At 50.6% G+C, this 24,070-nt stretch overlaps 1 long non-coding RNA gene across 1 annotated transcript; it reads left to right on the plus strand.

Annotated features, from left to right (window-relative positions):
• Nucleotides 1-17,464: 17,464 nt before the first annotated feature.
• Nucleotides 17,465-23,672, plus strand: LINC02181 (long intergenic non-protein coding RNA 2181). The gene is made up of 3 exons (NR_126008.1): nucleotides 17,465-20,180; nucleotides 20,739-20,865; nucleotides 22,433-23,672. It is a non-coding gene; the product is annotated as a long intergenic non-protein coding RNA 2181 (long non-coding RNA).
• The last annotated feature ends 398 nt before the right edge of the window (nucleotides 23,673-24,070 follow it).

Raw genomic sequence — 24,070 nt, forward strand, 5'->3', positions numbered from 1 at the left:
GGACCCAGGAGGCTGAACAGGCTCTCAGGACAGGGGCATCAGCCTGGCCTCCAAAAAGCCACATTCCCACAGGCACTGCTGGGAGCAGGGCCAGTGAGATGGGCCAGGGGCTGAGGGGCCAGGCCAGGTCTGCACAGGAAGTCCGCGGGGTGTCCGTGTGCTCACCCCCCCTCAGGATCACAGGAGCTGGGATCAGCTGGTGTGCTGGAGCCATGGGTCCTCAATCTGTCATGACACCCCAGGAAAAAATACAGCTCAAATACTGTTTTTTCATCCCTTTTATTATCCTAACGAGACTTAACCTGGAAGCATCATTGGCACCAAATGGCAAGCTGCAGTCAGCAGCATGTACAGGGATGCAGCCGTGCGGCAGGCTCTGCGTGGATATGGGAGCGGTCACTGCAGAGCCAGAGGTCAGCAAGGCCCAGGCCTTGGCAGCGTGGGACAACCGGGACTGGCATAAAGGAGGCCAAGGGGCAGCATCCTCCCTGACAGCTTTATGGCCTGGCACCCAATCCTATAAAAACTGCCAGAGTAATGAGGTCCAGAGGCCTCCCTAGCACATGATGTCACCGTGGTGGGCGGGGCTGCCCACCTTGGAACCCAGAACCTGGAAATCAGCTGTTTCCAGCTGCATGGGGCTGTCACCCTCAGGCTGGTCCTAAGGCTGGAGCCTAGGGTGCCTGTGAAACCCACACGCTTCTTTCCCACACTATGCCATTCACAGACACCACCTACCCTCCACCATGAGGGAATGATGTCTCTGGATATTGCCCTGCTTGCGATATTGGATTAAAGGGCAAAGGCTCCTGGAAGTGACAGTTGAGTGTCACTGCCCATTGACACCTTGGTGTTTGGGGAGTCCTGCCACTTTCCAGTATCACCTGGGCCAGGACATAAATATTAAAAGGGCTTGGCCACCAGGGCTCTCTTCCCCACATGCAGGGCTGGCTTCTCAAGTGTACAGAGGACCTCGTCCTCGGTCTAACCCTCTGCTGTTGCCAACGTGAGATTCTTCATGACTTTCTGGGCCGCCCCCACCCCCAGTGATGCAGCCGGTCCCACCCACGCCCCGCAGGACCTGCCTGGCTCGTCGCCAACTCCTCCCGCATGCCCTGCTTCCAGATAGTCTCTTATGGAATCCTCAAACAACCCCAGGATGTGGGGAACGGTGTGGAGGCCCGTTGTGTAATGTGGAAGCCGGGATACATGAGTAGCGTGTAATTCCCTAAGACCACACCCCTGGCAAGCAGCAGCCCCGCACGGGCACCCAGGTAGCCTCTCCAACCCCAGCCCTGGTTCCTCCTCCACATCCTGCTTTCCCACATGTTGGAGAGGCCTCAGGGAAGAGCTGGGGCAGCCAGGCTTGCTGGGCAAGGCCTCGTTGGGGAAGGGGAAGGCCCAGATCATTATTCCAGAAGAGAAATTCCAGGTGAGGCCCCAGTGGAGAGCATTAGAGGGGCAGGAGGCTACGGTAGAGAGGGGTGCTGTGACGTCCCATGGCTCTGTGAGCACCGGGTGGGTTCCTGGGGACCCTCCTAATTCCACTTCTCCTTCCTGAAGACACGGCCTAGGAGGGTTGGGTCCCACAGCATCACAAAGGCATCCGAGAGCCTCTGACGTCAGAAGAGGGGGCTCTCATATGAATGAAGAAGCAGGGAGAGGCCTGGCGCAGTGGCTCATGCCTATAATCCCAGCACTCTGGGAGTCAGAGGTGGGCGGATCACTTGAGGTCAGGAGTCCGAGACCAGCCTGGCCAACATGGTAAAACCCCGACTCTACTAAAAAAACAAAAACAAAAATTAGCCAGACATGGTGGTGTGTGCCTGTAATCCCAGCTACTCAGAGGCAGGAGAACTGCTTAAACCCGGGAGGAGAAGGTTGCAGTGAGCTGAGATCATGCCACTGCACTCCAGCCTGGGTGACAGAGTGAGACTCTGTCTCAAAAAAAAAAAAAAAAAAAAAAGCAGCAGCAGGAGCTCTCAGGACCACAGAAATGGGGTCTGCTCCTCCCCAGTCAGTGTGAGCACCATGATGGGGTGAGCCCCTCCGAAGTCCACCCAGCCTGCACAGGGTGGCATCAGAAACGGCCAGGAAGCCCTGAGAAAGTGGGTCTTGGGCAGGAACAGGCAGAGCCATCAACAAAAGCAAAGGGAACCCAGGAGGGGGCGTCCAGAGAAGCGAAAGCCCCAGGAAAACACCTAACAGGTGTCTTGTCAGGACACGTGCAGAGGACAGATGCTGGCACCAGCCTTGGTGAAGACGCTGTGTTGGGAAGCAGCAGAAATCTCAGCTAAAATTGGTTCAGGCCAAAAGGAGATGCACCAACCCACCATCTGGATGCCCCAGGACAGGCCACGTTAGGGACGGTGACGGAGGCTCATCAACACCTCGGGACTCTGGGTCTTCCCATCTCTCTGCTCTGCCTGGGGCACTTCAGCCTCCTGCTCCGCCTGGCAGCAAGCCAGCTGTGTACTTGCTGCCTCCATCCAGACAGGCAGAGGCCAGGGACAGAAGGGAGACCATGTACCCAGGATTCCTCCATGCAAGAAAGAAACCTTTCCCCAGAAAGCCCCCATCTCCCCTGGGACCTGGGAGGCTGAGCTGGCTCCAGGGCTGGAGGAATCACACCCGGGCTCCCTGGGTGCCATGTCCCGCACGCAGCAGCAGGCCGAATGGCCCCTAAGACAGGCGAGGTGTGAGCGGAGCATTCACAGCCTCCCCATGAGCCTCTCCAACCCACGAGCTTCCCCAACCCACGAGCTTCCCCAAACCACGAGCTTCCCCAACCCACGAGCTTCCCCAAACCACGAGCTTCCCCAAACCACGAGCTTCCCCAAACCACACCATTCCTCACATCGACATGAACTCTGTAAAAAGACCAGGGCCATGAACGTGCCTCTGAGCCCTGGTGCTGTCACAGACGGGCCCTGTGACTGGTTAGTCCCACAAACCTCGCCCGGGCTTCCCATGGCTTTTTGGAAAAATATCACAGTTCATATTGTGACCTAGAAGGTTATCAGACGAGAGCATTTGCCCAGCATAACTGAAGCCAGACTGGGCTGAACTAAGTGATAAAACAACCTCAGAGCATGTTGTTTGGCACCAGGGAGTAGGGTTGGAGCCCAGATCATGCCAAGAGCTGGTGCAGCGGAGATTCCTGCCCACCGCCTCCAGCCCCAGCATCCAAGTGCACTGCGTTACAGCCAGGATTCAGCTGCACCCACAGGCACCACGGGAGCAGCGGCTCCAACAAAGTGCTGGTGGAATTTGTTTTTTTCACATAAGGGTCTGAGCTGTGCTCTCTGAAATCACCAGGATTTTCCTCTCTTGTTAATGGTTGTGTCCACCCACACAATAGCGATTCGGTACCGTGTCTCCACCCAGCTACTGCAAGAAGGCTTCTCTTACTTCAAGACACACGCAGCCTGTTACACACACATCAGCCGTCAAAAAGCCTGGGAAAAGCATTCCGTGTTCTGTAGCTTGCCTAGTTAAACACTCTCACTGTGGAAGGGAGGGGGAAACGAGGGTGGAAAACAATCAGCCGTGTCAGCCTCCCTCTCCACGTGCCGGCTACAGAGGGCTTCCTTCTGTTCCTCTGAAGGGGAACAAGCTCTTCACAGAGGCTGTTCCCTCTGCCAGGACACTTCCTCTCCTATCTCCTAGCTAACTCCTTCACTGCCCTCAGACCCCAGCTCAGTCACTCGGCCACCCCACCTGGCCACCTCAGAATTTTTTTATAATCCCTTCCTGTGATCGTTTGACTGACGGCTGCCTCCCTCGAAAGATGTTATGTGTCCCAAGGTGGAATGTCAGCTCGTTTCCTGTTAGGTGCCAGCACCTACTCCAGGGCTGACCCCTCTGGCTGAAGAGCTGAGTAAATGTATCACCCTCCTGAGTCTCCAGGTCCCCTGCACGTGGACACGACTCAGAGCCGTCACAAGAAAGCAAATGAAGATCTTAGGCCAGGTGCAGTGGCTCATGCTTGTAATCCTAGCACTTTGGGAGGCCAAGGCAGGTGGATCTCTAGGGCCCAGGAGTTCGAGACCAGCCTGGGCAACCCCGTTTCTACTAAAAATACAAAAAATCAGCTGGGCGTGGTGGTGTGTGCCTATAATCCCAGCTACTCGGGAGGCTGAGACAGGAGAATCACTTGAATCCAGGAGATAGAGGTTGAAGTGAGCAGAGATCATACCACTGCACCCCAGCCTGGGTGACAGAGAGAGAGAGAGAGAGACTGTCTCAAAAAACAAACAAACAAAGCAAATGAAGATCGTACCAGGGGCTGACACCAGAGATGCCTGACTAAGTGGCAGGCACCATCCCCTGTTTTAATTTGCTTAATCCGCCCAGCAGCCTTTTTCTTTCTAAGGCAGGTTTTGCTCTTATTCCCATTTCACAGAAGAGGAGACGGGGCAGAACTGAGTCAGCTGAGGAGGCAGGCTGGGACTGAACGCAGCTCTGGAGCTGGCACACTTGGGGTTCCGGCAGTTCCCTTTCTGCACTTTCTGGCCAGCGAATGGGGAAACCTGGGCCGTCTCCACGGGCCACAGACCTGCTGAGGGAGCTCACAGTGCAGAGGGTCCAGGGTCCCTCCTGTTCTTGTCCCCAAGCCTCTTCTGGGAGCCCCTCCCAGTTGGACCCGAACTGTGGCTCACGTAAGGAAGCCATGTGTTCCTGCCCGCCCAACCCCCCAGAAGAAGTGCTTTCTGCACAAGGTCCCCGAGGCCCCACAAGCCCAGAGATCCATGATTCCATGCAGTCAGTGCCTCCGGGCTCAGGGCCTCTGGAATATGGCCGTGTGGCCGGTCCCCTGCAATGGCTCCTGGAGACCCACAGCCAGGTGACACATGGCTGTCCGCTCCTGAACCACAAGCCAGAACACAGGCAGGTGTGTGCTCTGAGAGGTGAGGATGGGGCCTAGGCCTGGAGCAGCCTGCAGAGGATGTCAAGGAAATGCTAAAACATGCCCCAGAGAAAAATCTGCCTGAAGTAACTCAGTCAACTTCTGTATTATCCTTTTTTTTTTTTTTTTTTTTTTTTTTTACCAAAAAGCCCCCACCCAAAACTACGTTGTTATAACGAAAGGGATATGCATTCATTCATGCAGGAAGAGGAGGAGAATATACCAAGTACAAAAGAACAGGCTTATCCACATCCTGCCGCCAGCACTCACAGGCAGGGAACCTCCCGGTTCTCGGTGTCAAGCCTCCCTCCTGGAGGAGAAACCCACGCTGGTGTCATCACAGGTTCAGTGCGCCTCCCTCTACGACCTCCACAGGAACAGAAGGGGCTGCTTTCGCCATCCCTCCCACAGGGACGGGGTGTGCATGGTGCGGGGAGGTGGTGCCGAATACCTTGCACAAACGACACCTGTTCCTCGACGCTAAAGTTTCCTGAGGCCTCCCCTGTGTCGGATGCCGCGGGTCCCCAGGGAACACGGCGTGGACTCAGGCTTGGCTTCTGTCTCCCATCTCCTACCCATCTCCCCAGCTTCTCATCATCCAGGGTACGCACAGGAGACAGTTGTCTTGTTTGTAACAAACATTTTTCCAGCACTCTCCACATGCTAGGCCTTGCTCTAAGCACTTTACAAAGGCTAACTTGGTGAATCACAACCTTACAAGGTACGTACTCTTATCACATTTTACAGATGAGGAAATTGAAGCCCAGAGAGACCAAGCCACTTGCCCAAGGTCACACAGCAAATGAGTAGCAAAGACTGGATTCAAACCCAGCCATTTGGGCTCCAGAGCCCGTGCTAATGGTCTCAGAAACACAAGCTGCCCCACCATGAGTGTGAGGGACACAGTGAACCCACTTTGCCAGGGGAAATGGAGACGGGAGCTGCCGCATGGGACGGAAGGCACTGCTAACGTACTTTATTTGTTTTTTAAGGCCAGCCAGACGAATGAGGTACAAGGCAGTAGCTATGCACCTGGCTATACCTGAGAATCGCCTGGGGCGCCCTGAAAACTGCTGCCCAGAATTTGATTCCCTTAGTGTGGGCTGGAGCCCAGGAGTCAGTGCCTGTTAAGGCTTCCCATGCCACTGCACTGTGAAGCCAGGTTTGAGAACACCTGCTGTGTCCACAGATTCCAGCTACATGACCCTGGAATACTTGCTTGACCTCCCCAGGCCTCAGTTTCCCCATCTGTGAAATGGGAATGCTACCGCTTTGGTGTGAGAAGCTGCGTGTCACACACACACCTCGCTGGGCCCTGGTACAGCCCGTGAACCACGTCGTTGTCAGCCCTTACTCTAAAGCACACGTGGCTCTCTGCATGCAGGCAGAGCTGGGTGAACTGATTTTCCCGGGCTGCCATAACCACGTCGTGAGACCAGGCAGCTCAAACCCCAGATATGCACTTTCTTATCATTCTCAAGGCTGAACATCTAGGATCAGGTGCCAGCAGGGCTGGTTCCTCCCGAGGCTTCCCTCCCTGGCTTGTAGGCAGCCATCTTCTCCCTGTGTTCTCATATGGTCATCCCTCTGTATGTGTCTGTGTCCTCATCCCCTGTTCTATGGGGACACCAGTCATTGGATTAGGGCCCAATGACTCACTTTAAGTTAAGCACCTCCTTAAAGACCCTATCTCCAAACATGGTGACATTCTGAGGGCCCGGGGCTAGAGCTTCCACACAGGAATTTATCAGGAACAAAATTCAGCCTATAATGAGTAAACAGAGACAGTACCTGTTGAGACGTGCGTCCATGGGTGGACTGCTGAGAACGCGGATTCTCACCCTCAGCGTATTCCCTCAGCCAAGCACAGCGAGGTAAGGTCATTTATAGTTAGCTGGCTTTTGACAATCACAAAGCCAGTGCCCCTCATCTGGGCTTCACCTCCAAGCCTGCGCGTCCCTCTCCCCTCCTGGCTCTGCGAGGGTTAATCGGAAGGTCTCTGGAGTTGGGTGGACTTACTGCTCCAGACCTTTACCATCTCACCCTGACTGCAGGGCTCACATTTCTCACTTAATTACTTGCCCTGCAATCAGAAGAGATAGCCCGTTTCTGTGTTGAGTTGGCTGCAGCTGTGAACTGTTTATTTACTTTTCCTCAGCCCGGGAATGGCTGTAATTTAAAGGTTCAGATCTCAGCTACCCTGCCTGGTGCAAACCCTGCTTAAGCACTTCCATATTGCTGGGGTGGAATGTTGCTGGAAGCTGCCCCCGCTGCCCACCTCCCTTCCCTGGACAGGAGAGCTGAAAAGGCAGGTGTTCCTGGTTATCAAGCCTGCCCATCCAAGGAGCTGGGCAGAGAACCTGTAAGCCACAAACAGCGGCTAGGACTGTGAGCTGCTAGGATCGGGACTGCCCCAAGCCACCCTCCTGCAGAAAAAAAAGTGGTCCCTGCCACAGTTCAAGCCCCAGCTCTCACTAATTCCTGTGCCAAATGGTGTAATTACCACTTAAGTTGTCAAATGGCAACCAGATGGCCTTACCTTTCACACCGGCAGCTTAATAAGCTTTTAGGCATGACCTCTGCCGCTTGTCCTCCACCTGCACAGGCCCCGATTTGTGAAATCCGAGCCCACAATTAGATCTGATAATGAGAGCTGAGGTGCGCCCAGCCTTGAACTCCGCAAGCTCGCTGCAAGGGGTGCCCAGCAAGTCACCCCATGCCACTGACAAATGACATGCGTCCCACCCCAAACAGAGGGGCCCTGCACACAGGCCCCTGGGGCCTGCCTAGGGAGATCACAGGCCCAGAGGCCCTGAGACCCAAGTGCATTTGGGGGGCCAGACAGTTCTGCAAGCTCAAAGCATGCTGTTTCTGGAAACAGCAAGCTAGAGGCTCAGACCCCATCATGTCCCCCTACAGCTTTGTCCGCGGCCTGCCTGCCCCGGGGCAGCCCCCCGGGAGGCACTGTTTCTCCATCAGCACAAACAGGGGGGCACCCCACATGGGGATCAACCTGCTGCCAAAAACCCGTATGTGACTGTCTGTCAATTCACCCCTTTGAGTTTCCGTGAGCTGGAGTTACTATAGTGAGGCTTTCAGCACACGGCAGAGTGGTCTCGCACTGCAACGGATCACAGTCCAGTGTCTGTTTTGAAAATCACATTGTTCTTTCCAGGGATGGGGACAAACCCCTCCAATAGTTATGGAAGTCACATGTACCAGGAACCATTTCCAGCACTTCACACATACTCACTTATTAATCCTCACAATAACCTAAGCACTGTTTTTCTCCCCCATTTATAGAAAACTGTGGCACAGAGAGGTTAACTAACTTACCCAAAGTCACACAGCTGGCCAGTAGTGGGAATGGGATTTGAAACTAAGTGAGGAAGCAGACACTCTGAATGTATACAACCAAGATTCCATTGGATTTTTAAAAACAATTTGATAAAAACTTTATTAATACACAGTAGACATGTTGTACCTACTAAGCCAAGCTAAAGGTTTGTGTAAGGGCTTGGAAAAGTCCAAATATTTTAAGAAGAGCCCAGGCACTGATACTTCTCATGCTCTGACAAACCTGTGAAAATGGGCAGGTACAAAAGAGCAGCACATCAGAAGCTTCCTCTGCCCTGGGTTGGAGCAGAAGGAAACCAAGGAGAGACGAACACTGAGCGCCTGGCCGGGGACGGAAGTTTCCATGGAAGCCTCTCGTCCCCAATCTTTGCCAAGAGGATTCTAGTAACAGCAGCTCCCACAGCAGAGAGTGATGGGGAGGCCAAGACCCCAGAGAGAAACTGACAAATATACTTATTCCGACTCTGCGTTACATTTGACTCTTTTTAGAGGTCAGTATTCCCTTCTCCCGACCTGCACAGGGACCTTGGGTTTTAGGGTGTCTCATCTCGTGTTGTCATTGAAAACTTGCCCTTAAGATTGTGTCCCATTCTTGCTAAGGTGCAAATGACTGATACTGAGGAAGAGGAGATTGCACTTCATGTTACCACCTTCAGATCCATTTGGCTTTTCAAACAAGAGGCTCGGAGAAGACCTATATTAGTCTGTTTTCACGCTGCTGATAAAGACATACCCGAGACTGGGTCATTTACAAAGAAAAAGAGGTCTAATGGCTCACAGTTCCACGTGGCTGGGGAGAGGTCTAATGGCTCACAGTTCCACGTGGCTGGGGAGAGGTCTAATGGCTCACAGTTCCACGTGGCTGGGGAGAGGTCTAATGGCTCACAGTTCCACGTGGCTGGGGAGGTTTCACAATCTTGGCAAAAAGTGAAAAGAGTGTCTTACATGGTGGCAGACAAGAGAGAATCAGAGAACCAAGCAAAAGGGGTTTCCCCTTATAAAGCCATCAGATCTCATGAGACTTATTCAGTACCATGAGAACAGTATGGGGGAAACCACCCCCATGATTCAGTTATCTCCCACCTGGTCCCTCCCACAACACAAGGGAATTATGGGAGCTACGATTCAAGGTGAGATTTGGGTGAGGACACAGCAAAACCATATCAAGACCCAAGATCAACATGATGATCCAATATTATCATTTTTACCAAAATAAGAGTGGGGGAAGAGGAAGCAATGGCTTTCAACAATAAATGTGTATATAGTCAGGAATATGGAACAAATGGGCTCAGACTTTTCACATAAAGAAATGCCCAAACGCTGGTGCTTGGGCAGGTTTTGGTCTATGGCCCACACTCCTGGAAAGGGGATCCTCCTCTGTTAGAAGTTCTTTGACAGGAAATATAGAAGAACAAGGCCTTAAATTACACAAGTGGTGCCATCATCAGCGAGTGACCAATTTATCTACGCATGAACTAGGGCTTTCCAGGGACAATTCCAGGTCTCAGAAGCTACCTGCATTGAGACACCCACATAAAGCCAGCCTGTCTTGAGACCCTCCCACCCACCCAGCGTTCATTCATTGGTAGGTCAGAGGCAGACCCATCCTGCCGTCCACCGACCCCTTCCTAAGCCACTGTCAGTCCCCACTGCAGCGCATGCCTGAGTTCTGACAGTGGCCATTCTCTTTGGTGGAAACGTGTCTGCCCCTTGGCCACCTGGACGGTTCCTGCTCATAACTAAAGACGTCATCACTTCTGTCCCAGCTATGTCCGTGCTGACTTCACGGGTCCCAGTGTCCCCACCCTTTGAGGTCGGGAGCTGTGATGCTCATCTCCCCCGAGTACTGGGCAGGCACTTGGCCCGCACGGGGGATGCCTGGCCACACAACCAGTCGTTTGTTTCCTTCCTTTCTCGTTCTCCCCAGAGTGTGAGCTCCTGAGCAGGGGCTGAGTATATTCATCTCCCTGTCCCCATTGCCCAGGCTGGGCAGGCGCCATCTGTGTTTGAATAAATGAATCATTCTAGTTCCATCCCTCAATAAGCCTTTATCTGCAGACCTCTCTTGGAGATCCTGAGCCCTACTGGTCCGTAAGTTAATATGAGGCCACATTTGTTACCCCGAAGAAGACACGCAAATGAAATGACTTACCTAACATCTTGCTCCAGCAAACCAGACAGAATGTCAAGCTGGTGACATTCAAAAGTTTTGGAAGCCCACAGGGGCCTTTTGGAAGAGAAGGTCAGCATGGAAAGGGGATGGTGATGTGGCTTAGGGGCAATCAGGCAAGTGACAGTGATGTGACTTCAGGTGATCAGGCAGCAGGAGCCTTGCAATGCACAGGCCTTCTCCTAACCCTTTTCTCTGCACAGGTTCCACGTGGCCCAATGAGGTAAGCGCTGTTACTGTGTCCACTTCACAGACAAGGAAGCTGAGCATCAGGGCCATTCAGCAATATGACCAAGACCCCACAGTGGTGGAGCCTGAATTCAACAGGAACAGAACGACCTAATGCACAGAAGCAGCCGCGTCTCAGGTGGAGGGGAGGAAGGAGCTCGGGTTGGGTCATGGAGGATGGGCTTGACTTGGGTTTCCAAAGTCAGTCCCCTTGTGTGTGTGTGTGTGTGTGTGTGTGTGTGTGTACATGTATGTTGGTGCATGTTCTGTGCATGTGAATGAATGTGTACAGTGTGTGTATATGCATGTCATGTAATGTGTGTGTGTGTACAGGGGAATTGTGTGTTGGTGAGCACATGTGTGTATATGTGTTCCTGTTGCAGAAAAACACCTCTCAGAAATACAGCATGAGGCCGTTCCTGCAGCCCCCACTCTTCCCATTTCATTGCACCCTTGCTTGGCAAAACACAAGCCAATCGGCATAAACCAGCTCTGCGCACGCGCCTCCTGCTTGGGATCAACAGAAACCTTGGGAGGAGAGAATATTCAGAGGCTGCCTATGACCAAGCAGAAAGTTCATCAAAGACAAGGACCCTGAGACTCTGAGGAGCTCCGCTAGGTTCCCTTCCAAACTGACTCTCAGAAAGCAGAGTAGGGAGCTAAACCAGAGCATGAGTGGGTGGACCGGTTCCCCGCCTGATCTAAGAACTTGCTGATGTCTGCAGTGGACCAAGGCTACCGCTCAGGTCCCTCCTCCAGAGCCCTGTCCTGCTGCCGTGTCTATAGTGGCTCAGATCTCTCCACGTCTGCCAGGGGGTCTTCTGCTAGTGAGGAATTCTGCCATGCCTGCTCCAGTTCTCCTACGTGTAAAAAAAGAAATAACTCTACCAACACCGATGTTCGCTAGCGACCAAGCAGAGCACTTCCTATGCCTCACCTCCCTGAATCCTCCTAAGGACTGATGGAGTAAGAGTCACAACATCCTCATTTTACACACTAGGAAACTGAGGGGCAGAAGGCAGATGATGTGCTTGGCTCAGAGCCTGATGAGGAGCTAGCATCTCCTGCACGAGAGCTGGCGGGATGGCCTGCGTTTGCAGCTCTTGCAGGCATCGTCTCTGTGGTCCAGCCTGATGCTAACTCAACAGATGCTGCCAGAAGGGGCCTGCTCATCCCATCTGACAGCAGTGTCTCCAATGGCCTCGCAGGGTCCTTCCTTGCCGCTGTATGTCTCCTTGTGGGATGCATGTTCGACTGTGCTGGTTCTTTCATCAACGTGCTGTATCCTGAGAAGACTCAACCCCCTCTCTTGCCCCAATGCCTTCAGCTCTGAGAACCCCACAGTTACTCAGTGATCTCCTTAAGGGCTCCTGGATACAGAGGACAGCAAAGAAATGGAGTCCCTTCTATTGCTGTCAATGTTTAAAATTTTCCAATGGAAATTGTGTTCATGCCTAAAACGAGGCCACCAAGTGTGCTCAAAACATTCAAGGTCTCTACTTTTAACTCCAACCCAATTAGCTCAGTTTGCTCTGTCTGGTTTTTGTGATTATCAGAAACCTTGCCAGGAGATTTCTGTCTTTGAATATCATCTGGACAATAAGCATTAATCCTTTCCTGAACACCCAGTGGATGCTTGGCTGTGTGCAGAGCACTCTGGGATTTCTCCCAACAATCACAGAAGGAAGATAACATCAGACCCAGTCAACAGAAGAGGAGACTGTGGTCTGAGAAGCTCCAAGAGGCGCAGTGACCGGGGATTGCAGTGAAGTTGGAACTTAGCCTGTTTCCAGAGCCTGGGCCAAACTGCCAGGCCAGTATTTTCCCAAATTTGCCACATCAGAAGAATCGCTGGAGGCCTGGTGTAAATTAAGAATCATGGGTCCTACCCCAGTTCGAATGTGCCTCGCCGAACCCCAGGACCTGAGAATCTGCATTTTAAACAAATATCACTGGAGGTAAGATTGAGACGCCCTGCCCACACTCCATTGTATAATTAGGTTAATTACCTGTTTCCATCCACTCACCACTGGGTCGGAGCACCTTTCAGAAGTTGGTATGGATGGGATGGGATGAGGGCGGAACCGGGCCTGCACAGCGCCTCCGAGGGCCATGTGGGGCACTGCGCCCCCCCTCCCCCCGCCCCCAGCCCTCCCCAGCTGGGAACCACCCACTGCCCCTGCACAAAGAATGGGCGGAAACAGGAGTTCACCCCGTGCCATTTCTCACTGGCCGTCGGCTGGGCCGGACCTACAGGGGCGATCATGGACTCAGAGCAGCTGAAAGGCCAGGGACACGGGAGCAGGAGGTGGCAGGATACCTGGTGCGGTGCCGAGGGGCCTGGGAAACAAAACACAGCCCCCCCAAGGCTGGCGGGGGACGGCCGGAGCAATCGCCTGCTGAAATCTGCAAGCTCATCACAGCGCTTGGAAAGCTCACCGGGGACGCGCAGCACAGGACACATCCTGCTCTGCAGAGATAAGAGGCAGTTCCCAGGTTCTCACCGCCGGCATCCCCCCGGGGAGCACACTGCTGGCGGCAAGCTTGGAGGACATGAGAAAGATGCCCAAAACAAACAGCCTGGCAGGGAAGCACCCGCCCGCCAGCAGGGGAGCTGCGCAGGCCCCTTCACCCTTCACCCACCTTGGGACAGGACCTTGTTGGGGAGGGGGCCCAGGGTCAGGGCAGGGGGACCCACACTGACCGGGGACCCTGGTCGCTGATTTTGCTCATCCCTGAAATCACTCCTCAGGCTGACTTTAGCTCCACCCTAACACATACTGGTTGCGGAGGCCTGGAAGAGTGGCCGCTTGTCTCTGTGCCTCAGTTTCCCCACCTGCTAAAAGGTGCTGCAGGTGGAAACTACCCCTCTGCATTCTTCCAGGCCTCGCTGTGATCATGTGGGTTTGGTTAACGGCTGGCGGCTGAGGACCCTGAGATGCTCTGAACTCTTCTGTATGATCCCATCTCACCTCACAGAGGCCTGCAAGCCTCACGCCCTTACCAGTACCATTTACCCCATGAGGAAACTGATGTATGCCAGGTTATGAAGCGTTTTCGAGCTAGGGAGAGCTTAACTTATGCACACATTCTCTCTAGTTCTCAAGTCAAAAAGGTGCTAGAACCCAGGTCAGCCCATTCCAAAGCCCATGGCCTCCCGCACAATTCCAGGGGTAGATATTAAAGTTCTGTTTTAGAACTCCCAGAGCGCCTATAAACTATATTCCACTAGAAAGCCATAAAGAAACACTTTGGAAGCCACCACTTCCTATTACGGGTGGCCTGTCCTCAAGGATTTGCTGAAATTAAGGATCTGGGAGGAGGCTGCACAGATTCCACGGATGTGCCTCCTTGAGTCACTGGCACACAACTTCTCCCTTGCTGCCTCCTGCCTATTGTATACCTTGCCAGCATCCCTTGCAGCTAGATGTGACCATGTGACCCATGGGATACAAACAGAGTCTGTTGGGACACTTCCGGGAAACCTTTTGTTTTCTTAATCAAAAGGCACAGCGCTAGTAACCTTCTCCTCTCTTCCCTCTGTGAATACAGATCTGATGTCTGGAGATCTAGCAGCCATGTTGAGGCCATGACAGAACAGACAATAGCAATGTGGTAGACATCATATTAGCCCCCCAAGAGATGTCCACATCCTAAACTCCAGAACCAGGACACTGGAGTTGCAGATGGAAGTAGGTTGCTAATCAGCTGACCTTAAAATAAAGAGATAGTCCTGGATTATCTGAGTGAGTCCAGTGTAAGCACAGGCTCCATAAAAGTGGAAAATAGAGCTGGAAGAGGAAGTCATAGAAGAAACGGATGCAGAGGGTGGAGGGATAGATGGGACCCTGCTGTCTTTGAAGACGAAGGAATGGGCCATGAGCCAAAGAATGAGGCAGCCTCTGGAAGCTGGAGAAGGCAAGGACTCGGCATGACATTCATGGAAACATTTTCCCAGGAAACACACTCAGGGACCCCTGATCTTACTGTCCCTTCCTTTGCCAGAAAAGGTTCCAGAGACATCCCAAATTCATCTTCAGACCCTGGCATCATCAGAGGGGTCTCCCCAGAAGGAACCAGCCCTTCCTACACCTTGATTTTAGCCCGGTGAGACCAGCACTGAACTTCTACACTACAGAGCCCTAAGATGATAAAAGCATGTGTGTTTTAAGCCACTGAGTTGATGGGCATTTGTTACAGCAGCCACGGGACACCACTACAAGCAGGAAGAAGGTGCCATCTCTGCCGCTGGTGAATAGCTGAGTAGATACCCGAGGCTGCCTTCCTCCGACATCCTTACTGCATGATAAGGACAAGCCTGCCCTTGTTTAAGCCATCTTAAGTTGGGTTATTGTGATTTGAAGCCCAGTGCATTCCTACTTGGCATCTGTGTCACCTGACGGGGACTTTACTTCAAAGTTCTTTTTTGAAGAATTTTTTTTTTATGGGAGAGAAACCACATTAGCAGCTAAATGAGTTGAACCCCCTAGGATGGTGCTGAGGTGTGAAGATGAATTTTGGAACCTTTTCTGGCAGAGAAAGGGAAAATAAGATCAGGGTTTCCTAAGAAAATATTTTCCTTCCATATAATGCCCTAACGGCCTTCAACATTCTAAGAAGAAAAATGGATTGTTAATTCAATGTTTACTGAATCATAAAGTAGACCTAAGACCAAAAAAAAAAAAAAATAGAAAAAGCTAATTGCAATAAACAAGAGAGTGGGTTTGTGTAGGCATCAGGGCTGCTCTATGGCAGATCAGGTGTCCGGGATAACAGGTGTGTTCATAGTCTGCCATGTCCTAGACTGGGTGAAATTGTTCTCCAGTTGAAATGGTTACATAGGATAAGTGTCCCTGGGCTCTGCCTTAACAGCAGGCCCTTTATCTTCAATATGACTTCATCAGTGCACAGTCCATTTTCAGGAACGTGACTTTACTGTGTTGTTATTTCTAAGCTGATTCCTGCCGACCAATTTTATTCCTTACTTTACAACGGAGTTTCCAGGAATGGGTTCTAGTGAGGTGTTGGGACTGCCTTTGCGCATTCATGGATGGATAAGTTAATCAAGGAGTTAGGAAGGCAAGGTCATTTGTCATGGGCCCACCTCCTACCTGTCAGACAGGACTTGGCCTCAGAAGCTCTGTGGGCATTTCATCCTGCTGCTCAGTGTGCTCTGATGCCCAGCTCTGCAGAAGAGAGAAGAAGGGCCAGCCAGGAGCCTGGCAAGTGAGCAGTGCTTAGTAACTACTCATGGTGCTCAGTAACTACTCATCATTGCAATGCTTTTCTCTCTCATGCTCACAGCACCCCTATGAGGGAGATCTGGGGAATTTTCCCCTACTGCAGACCGGGAATCCAAGGCTGAGAGGTTACAGGACTCAGACTGAGAAAGGGGCGCATTGTCCCACTGCCTTGTTGGTGCCTCCTGACAGGGAGGCATGAGGGCTGTGGCCGCCACGGCAGATACTGGCCTTGGCATCCACAGCCCTCATGCTGTCTCTGCAGGCCGGGCGCCATGTGACCACACTCCTCTCTCAGACCCCACAAGAGCCCCGTGGGGGGCCGTGTGCTGCCCACTCTCATGATGAGGAAGCCACGACCTGAGAGAAACTTAGCGTCTTGCCCCCGATGCTGCGATGCTTGGGGATGGGTGTAAACACAGGCGGCTGCCGGCACATCTGGGCTCTCCTTGTGACCTGTCAGGCCCGCCCGCTGCAATAGAGCCTCCTCTGTCCCCTCGGGGCTTAGAGAGGTGAGGCAAACGCTTTCAGCCAGAGGCAGTGAGAAGGGTTCCCTCCACGGCCAGCAGTCTGAGCTCAGATAACTGACTTGCAAAAAATCCCTGACCAACCGGGAGCCTGAGAGGTGTGGGCCGGGTAGGGCGGGAGGAGGGGGAGGAAGCCCTGGGTACCCCAGGGCGCAACATGGCAGGGCCACACTGGAGGATGAGATCAGGCCTCCCAGGCCTCCCAGGCCCCCACCTGCGATGACTCCCCCGCATCGCCCATCGCGGCTGGGATTCTGGAGCCAGGCAGGGGTTCTGTGGTCTGAGTCCCTCTGCCTGTGTGACTCTGGGAAAATCACCAGACCTTCCTGAGCCTGGATTTCCTTCCGTGTGGAAAGATAATCATCAACGACCCGCGCCTATTTCAAGGAGACTCTTGGCCCAAAAATCCCGATTCCTCTAATTCCTCCTGATTTTTCTAAGTCGTGAACACATTAATTTATTGTCTTTCTAATGAGGCAGTGAGTGAAATATTCCGAATATTAAACAAGAAATACCTTTTCGGAAGGGTTTTTGTGAAGCCCTTTAATGGAGGGAGCATGGAGCCACCGTCAGACCTGATCTTCACGGATTTCGGGGCCCTCTGCTGGTTGCCTACACATCCACCCCCTCCCTAAACCTTCCTCGTTGACACGATTCTCGTTTCATTTGGCTTCAAAATGAGTTCCAACAACAACAAAATGCAATTTCCCAGACTCCTTTGCAGCGGAGAGTGGTCACATGACCCCATTCAGCCCAATGAGACGGGAGCCAGCGGGCCCAGAGAGGGCGTCCCTTCCAGGGACACTGCATTTCGGATTTGTGCTTTATCCTCCTCCTAGACGGGCTGAGAGTCCACAGGTGCGGCATTCACCTTGTCTCCTGAGGCCACAGGCATGGCGGCCAGGAGAGGAGGAGGGGGCTTCCCGCCCCGCATGGCCGCAGGCCGTCTCCATGGCAACAACCTCCCAGGCCCAGGGGTTCCGCAGCCTCCGCCAATCTGAGATGATTGACAGCAATGCCATCCAATTACAACATTTCCTCTCTCCTTGGGGACACCGAAAAGCAGACCACCCGGGCATACTAAGGTCAAGATGTCGTTGATCGGTTTCTTTGTTTTATTGTATTACTTGTTTTATTTACCTATTTACTTTCTTGGTAAAACCAGCCTGCCGGCTTGCTCAGGACATGAACTATGACGTCCCTGGAGATGGTCTCTTGGGAGAGGAGCCCCCCAGGCCAGCGAATCCCGCTCACCTGGGGATTAACGAGCAGGCCCGGCCATTTCCCAGGGCCACCGGTGCTCCCTGATCTCAGTGTCTCCGTCTGTAAAATGGGTATAACCAGAGCCAGCCTGTGTGGCCCTGGGGAAAGCGGCACTGAGGACAGACCAGGTGTCCAGCAGGGTCCTGCCCCGACTCCCACGCCCCCCTCGCCGGCCCCCTCGCCGCGGTCTTGCACCCTCCACTCCCCGTGCCTGCAAAGCCTCTGCCCCGTCCCTACACCAGGCTAATCCTTTGCACCTCAGCTCAGAGGCCCCGTCTCCAAAGCCTTCCCTGAAACTTCCTCCTTGAGACACCCACCATCCCCACCAAGCCTGCCACACCCAGGCCTGCTATCGCCCGTGCGGTGTCGTCCTTCTGATAAGCTGTGGAGGGGTAAGGGTCGCCCTGGTCTCTTGTTCATAGCCTTAAACCTAGAGCCACTCAAGTGCCGGGCACATAGCAGGTGCTCAATAAATACTCCTTGCTGATTGAACGGCAACCAGCTGCAAGAGTGAATGCATGGATGCCGCTCGTGGGCCTGGGTTTGGAGATCTTAGAAACAAAGCTTCCTTTTGCCACACTCATGCCTTCTTCTATCACACTCATGCCTTCTTCTACCACAATGTCACACCCTTACATCTTGTATCCGTAGGGAAATGTGGCCAGGGGCGTTTTACCAAGTTGGTCTGGGATGACGTGAGTTAACCCTCACACTCCACAGTCAGAGAGATGGGTAACCCAGGTGACCCAGCGCTAAGTGACAAATATGCTCTCGGATAGAACAGCCCAGAAAGGGCAAGAGGGAGAGTTGGAACACTCAGATAATTACCCTTCAGCGACGCAGTGCACTTAAGTGGTGAAAGGAGATTCACTGGTTGGAAAAACACTCCAGGGCGAAGGGCCAGCGTGTGCAAAAGCACCGAAGCATGACCGAGCGCGGGCATTCCCGCCAGCCACCAGTGGGCCACGCATCCCAACATGTGAGTGCCGCAAGGATACAAGTGCCTAATGTGAACCTCCAAGTGGACGATCATTCAGTACTGACTTTGGGCCTGGCCCCCTTTCCTCATGCAAGCCTTCCAGGCAGGAACTAAGAGTGAGCCATCCTCTACAGAAGAGAAAAGCAAGACACAGCAAGCTGAGAAACTTACCAGGGTCACCCAGTTGGTTGGAGTCAGAGATGTGTTACGGGCAGCAGCTCCTCTGCCCGCTTACGTCTGGGCTTTGGGGGCTGGCCCAGAGATAGTCATAATGCAGCCCTTTATTCAGCACTTGCTATGGGCCAAGTCCTTCATTCACAAGCTCAAGTCTTCCCAACCCAGAAAGAAAGATGGTTAGTTCCATTTCATGTAGGAGGAAACTGTCGAGGCTCAGAAAATTTAAGGAATTTACCGGTCATCAGTAAACGAGAGTAAAGGCCTGTGTGAACCCAAATCTGCCCTCCTCTGAAACTCTCGCTGCAGACATCGCACCCCACTGTTTTTCAATTTCATCTTCTTATTTATTCACTCAACCAATATTTATTTACCAAAGCACTATGAGGCCCAGTTAAGAATGTGTGGTCCTCGATCTGACAGCCTGGATTCAAATCCCTGTTGCCCCACAACTCTCCACACTAGCTGTGTGGCCTTGCAAATTTCACTCAACCTCTCAGGGACTCAGTTTCCTTGATTGTCAAATGGGAGTAATGACATTTCCTACCTCATTGACTTGTTGGGAGGTAGCATTGAGTTATCCCATGCCGCACCCGCTCCCTTGTAAACTCTGGATAATTACCGAGCTTTCTTATAAGTGCAGCTCATGGATCACTCAAGGCACTGGGAATATAGCAATCACAACAAAGATTCTAGTCATGGGAGATGGTCACCTAACAAATTAAAAACTAAGGCATTTGTTAAAGGACTGAATGACCAAGATTAGCGTTCCAAGGAAAAGTATGGCGCTCTGGAGTGGTCAGGAGAGCCTCTGTCACTGAGTAGCAGTGTGGCCCTGTCCAAGCTCCTGGCCTGGCTAGGCCTCATGCCCATGTCTGCATGGCAAGTGCCTGGAACCGGATGGCCATGGCAGCTTTTGCTCTGTGAAAGCCCAACTGCTCCCCTGGACTGCTCCCATGTTTTCTGTCTCCACCGAGCAAGCCTCTTTCAAAGCCCTAGAGAGAGACCTGGGTCCCCAGCACCCTCTCCTGGAGGAGATCTGGACTGAAATGTTTGGGACGCCTCCCATTCAAATGCTCAAGTCTCCAAACCGCTGGGGAGGCGTTGCACAAGAGACAGGCAGGGGTTTCAGTTTCTGGCACTTGTTTGCTCAAAGGATCTCAGCCTTCTTCTTCCTGACATGCAGCTTAAACATGTGAGCTGACCCTTAAATGAAACCCCCACAGTTTTCCATCTCCTTCCAAGAGAATTTCACGGGGTGCAGGGAGAATGGGGAGGACGTGAAACGTGGTGTATCCTGCAGGATTCACTCCCCCACTGACGGGACTAAAGGGTGAGCGTTAAACACTGGATGCCAAGTGTGTCTGCTGGTTTGTTTGGGTGTGTTTTTCTCTTCTCTTTTGCCTCTTAACTAAAACAACACCCAAAAGCACTCTGATTGCATTCAGCTGTTAAGAGGGAAGTAACTACATCTCCCCACCTTCGTTTGCAGAGATCAAAATAACGTTCTCAAAAAACGAAAAGTGGGAAGTTTACAAACACAGGACCCAGAATCTGAAAGAGTTCACCATTACTCCAAGTCAGTGATAGGTGCAGATGGACGCACTTGCTGGCAATGCAAACCTCTGAGGTGTTTCTGTAAACCCACATGCAAAGACCGTGCCTGATCCACTTTCTACCCTTACACACACACACACACACACACAAGTCAGACGGAGCAATAATCTCTGCATCAGCTGAAGTCTTGTCAGCTTAGTTGTCAAATTAAAACATAAAAATATTTTAGGCTGAAATTGGTCAAACAGGCATGTTGAGTTCAGTTTTTAAATCTTGCCCCAAATCAGTTTACTCTGACATATGAAGTCTAAATATGCCTTTCCTTCCTTGCTAGTTTCTGAAGCCTGAAATATTTTCAACTAAATGAGAAAATCTTTGCTGTTGAATGGCCTATTAGAGCTGTCACAAATGTGATTTCTGGAAATAAACAAGATTATAAGAAGGCTGGCTGGCGCAGAAACGTAAGTCAACACTAATAGGTGGTGTAATTAAATTATCCCTTAAGCCAAGATGCCAAATGACACAATTTTTTGGTGTTAATTCTAGTATGATCACCTCCGTGCAACTGTACAAATCTGAATGACTCTCTCACCAGAGGCACTAATTCTATTTTCTTCAGTTCATACCTATCGAATAGCTCTCTCTGTTCTGCTAAGGAAGCAAAGTAAAGTACTTGGGACATAGAAGTTCATATTTTCTCCATATCATTTTACAAAGGTTCACTGATGCAAACGTGGTTCAATAAACAATGTTTATTTTTTATGGGTTAGTATCTTGCTCAAGAAAATTAGAACTAAGTTTCAGGAAGATTTATTTACATTTTGACTATTGTTCACTGGCCACTGCCACTCAATACTTAAATGACTTTCTCCCCAAAGGGCAAAATCTTTAAAGCAGAACAGAATTTATTTAAACAGCTGGTTTTTTGCACAATCATTTTATTAATACATAGGCTCGAGTTATGAATAGTGAGTGACTTGCACAATTTTTAAATTCATACAACTATAAAACTAACATGTCATTCAATTAAATTTTTAAAGAACTGTACAAGATTAATTACTACCAGGCTCGATGAAGTCATTGTCCTAAGCTACATTTACATATTTCTAAGTCTTTAAGTAGTATTTCAAACTGGAGGCAAATGAATACTGCTTCATTTTTTTTTTCCAGAATAAAGGATAACATCATTCTTAGGAAAAGGAATAAATCTTTTTGTTGCTGTTGTTGAATGCCAGTTTGTTTACAATACTTGTCAACATGCACACTACTTCTTTTTAAATTAAAAAAAGATATCGCAAATCATTACTTAAAACATAGTAAGAAATCACGTCATCCCATGAAGAGTCTAAACATTGAAATTATTCAAAATTGTTTTAAAATTATTTTAATTTTAATATCAAATATGTTGAAGAGTGATAAGCACCATCCTTAGTTGAGATTCTCTGTAGCAAGAGATGGGGATAGAAAAATGTTTGTTTTTAAAATAAACTAGAAACTTTTCTGAGTGGGGAAGAGGAGAAGATTACCCTGGAATCACTCAAGGGAGGTGGAGGTTTAACGCGTCTAAGAAGCTGGTTTACCATTTTAGCAGGTGCTGATGTAGTGAAATACAATGTCCAGGGTGCGTATTCACGCCACCACTGCATGAAAAGGAAAACGCTTTTTGAGAAGGCGAGACTACCATTATCTATACCTGCCTGGTTTCATTTGACCATTTTTACGCACATAACATTTCATATAACATAAAATGTACGTTCTTCATGATTACTCTAGGAGAAAGGTGAGGATCTTTTATTTTTTTAAATATGGGCAACTGATAAAATATTGAAATAGCTACTACGTTATTCCATTTTTATCTCAAACATTTCCAGGAAGTATTTCTTTAAACTCTAGCTGGGCACTATCTCAGACTGTTTGAGGAGGGTGAGCTATTTGTTAATTAACATTTGGCTTAAATACTATAAATGCTCTTTGATAGATTAGCACATTTCAGGAGAGGCCTCAAAAAGTTTTTCTTCTTGGGTTTAGAGCCCGATGGATACACCCTGGGAGAGGCGACGGGGTGGCCCCTGTGACTTCGGGCTGCGACGCGGTGTCGTCCCCACCCCCACCCCCCTCACTCTAGAAGTCACAGCGCCATCTACTGGACAGCGGACAAACCTCCCCACCCAGGGACGGGCTTCTCTGTTTAAGGCCATCCAAACTAGAAAGCTTAAAAATGCGTTTAAGAGGTAGAATACCATAGTTTACGGAACAGAAGAACAAGAACAAAACTCTCTAATCAAAATCACAGGGACCTGGAAATATTGGTCTATAGCAATTTGGTTTTTGGGGGTTTTGTTGTTGTTGTTGTTGTTTCGGGGGCGGGGAGGGAGTTGGTTTTGGTTTTTTGGTTGGTTTTTGTTTTTGTTTTTGTTTTGAGACGGTCTCACTCTGTCATTCAGGCTGGAGTGCAGTAGTGCGATCTCCACTCAATGCAGTCTGGACCTTCTGGGCTCAAGCGACCCTCCTGCCTCAGCCTCCCGAGCAGCTGGGAACACAGGCGCACACCACCACGCCCGGCTAATTTTTAAATTTTTTGTAGAGACAGGGCATTGCTATGTTTCCCAGGCTGGTCTCAAACTCCTGAGCTCAAGCGATCCTCCCGCCTCGGCCTCTCAAAGTGCTGGGATTACAGGCAGGAGCCACCACGCCTGGCCTATAGCAATTTTGAAAACTGGCTCAAGCCCATTCCTCTATCCCCTGACATAACCCCCCAAAGAGAAGACTTTTTAAAAAGGTAAGAAAACTGTTTTTTTTTCATTTTTAAGAGTTTTATATTAGCTATAAATTTCTGGAGTAAAGATTTGGTTCCACCTAGTCAGCTCCCACATTTTTCTCCCCATCATCCTTGGGGCTAAGGTGTAGGAGAGCTGGGTAGAGACACACACACTCACACACACGCGCACACACACGCACACACAGACACACACGTGCGCACACACACGCACCCAGACACACGCGCGCGCACATACACGCACACACATGCACCCAGACACGCACACACGCGCACACAGACACGCACACGCATGCACACACACAAAAACACTCCTTGTGATGGAGCTCTTTAATCCTCCTGGACCCTGAACGCTTTGGTGAACACAAGCGTACAAAACTAGGATAACCCAAATATTATTCTGAATTCTTTTTTTCAGTCGTTTAAGCAAAACAACTTTCATTTTTAAAGTTTATGTGATTTTTCCTTATAAATATCATCACATTCCACGATACATCTGTCCGATGTCGATTTCTGGACTTTCTTACGCAAATAACCATCCTGCCTTCCTCCTCCTTTTCCCTCCTAACTGATCATTAGATTTGCCTTGAAATTCCAGTATTAATTGCTTTATCTTGGAAATGAAAGGCAGGGTATTCTTTTCACAGAGAACTCTATAGTTTCATAATTTCCTACACTACTTGGACTAGTTTCGTGGAAAGGAAAGGAGTCAACTGTGGCCTAGCACATTAACATATGTTTTCTTTGCAGTCCTCTCAATAATTTGACAAGACGTGCAGAAGATTTTAAAAAGGCAACTTATATTAACAAATAAAAATTACAATTAAATTTACTGAGTATTACAATTCACCCATTTTAAGAGAGAAATTTTTTTAACTGAATCTGATTTT

The sequence above is a fragment of the Homo sapiens genome, chromosome 16 (genome assembly GCF_000001405.40).
Source record: "Homo sapiens chromosome 16, GRCh38.p14 Primary Assembly".
Classification (NCBI taxonomy): domain Eukaryota; kingdom Metazoa; phylum Chordata; class Mammalia; order Primates; family Hominidae; genus Homo; species Homo sapiens.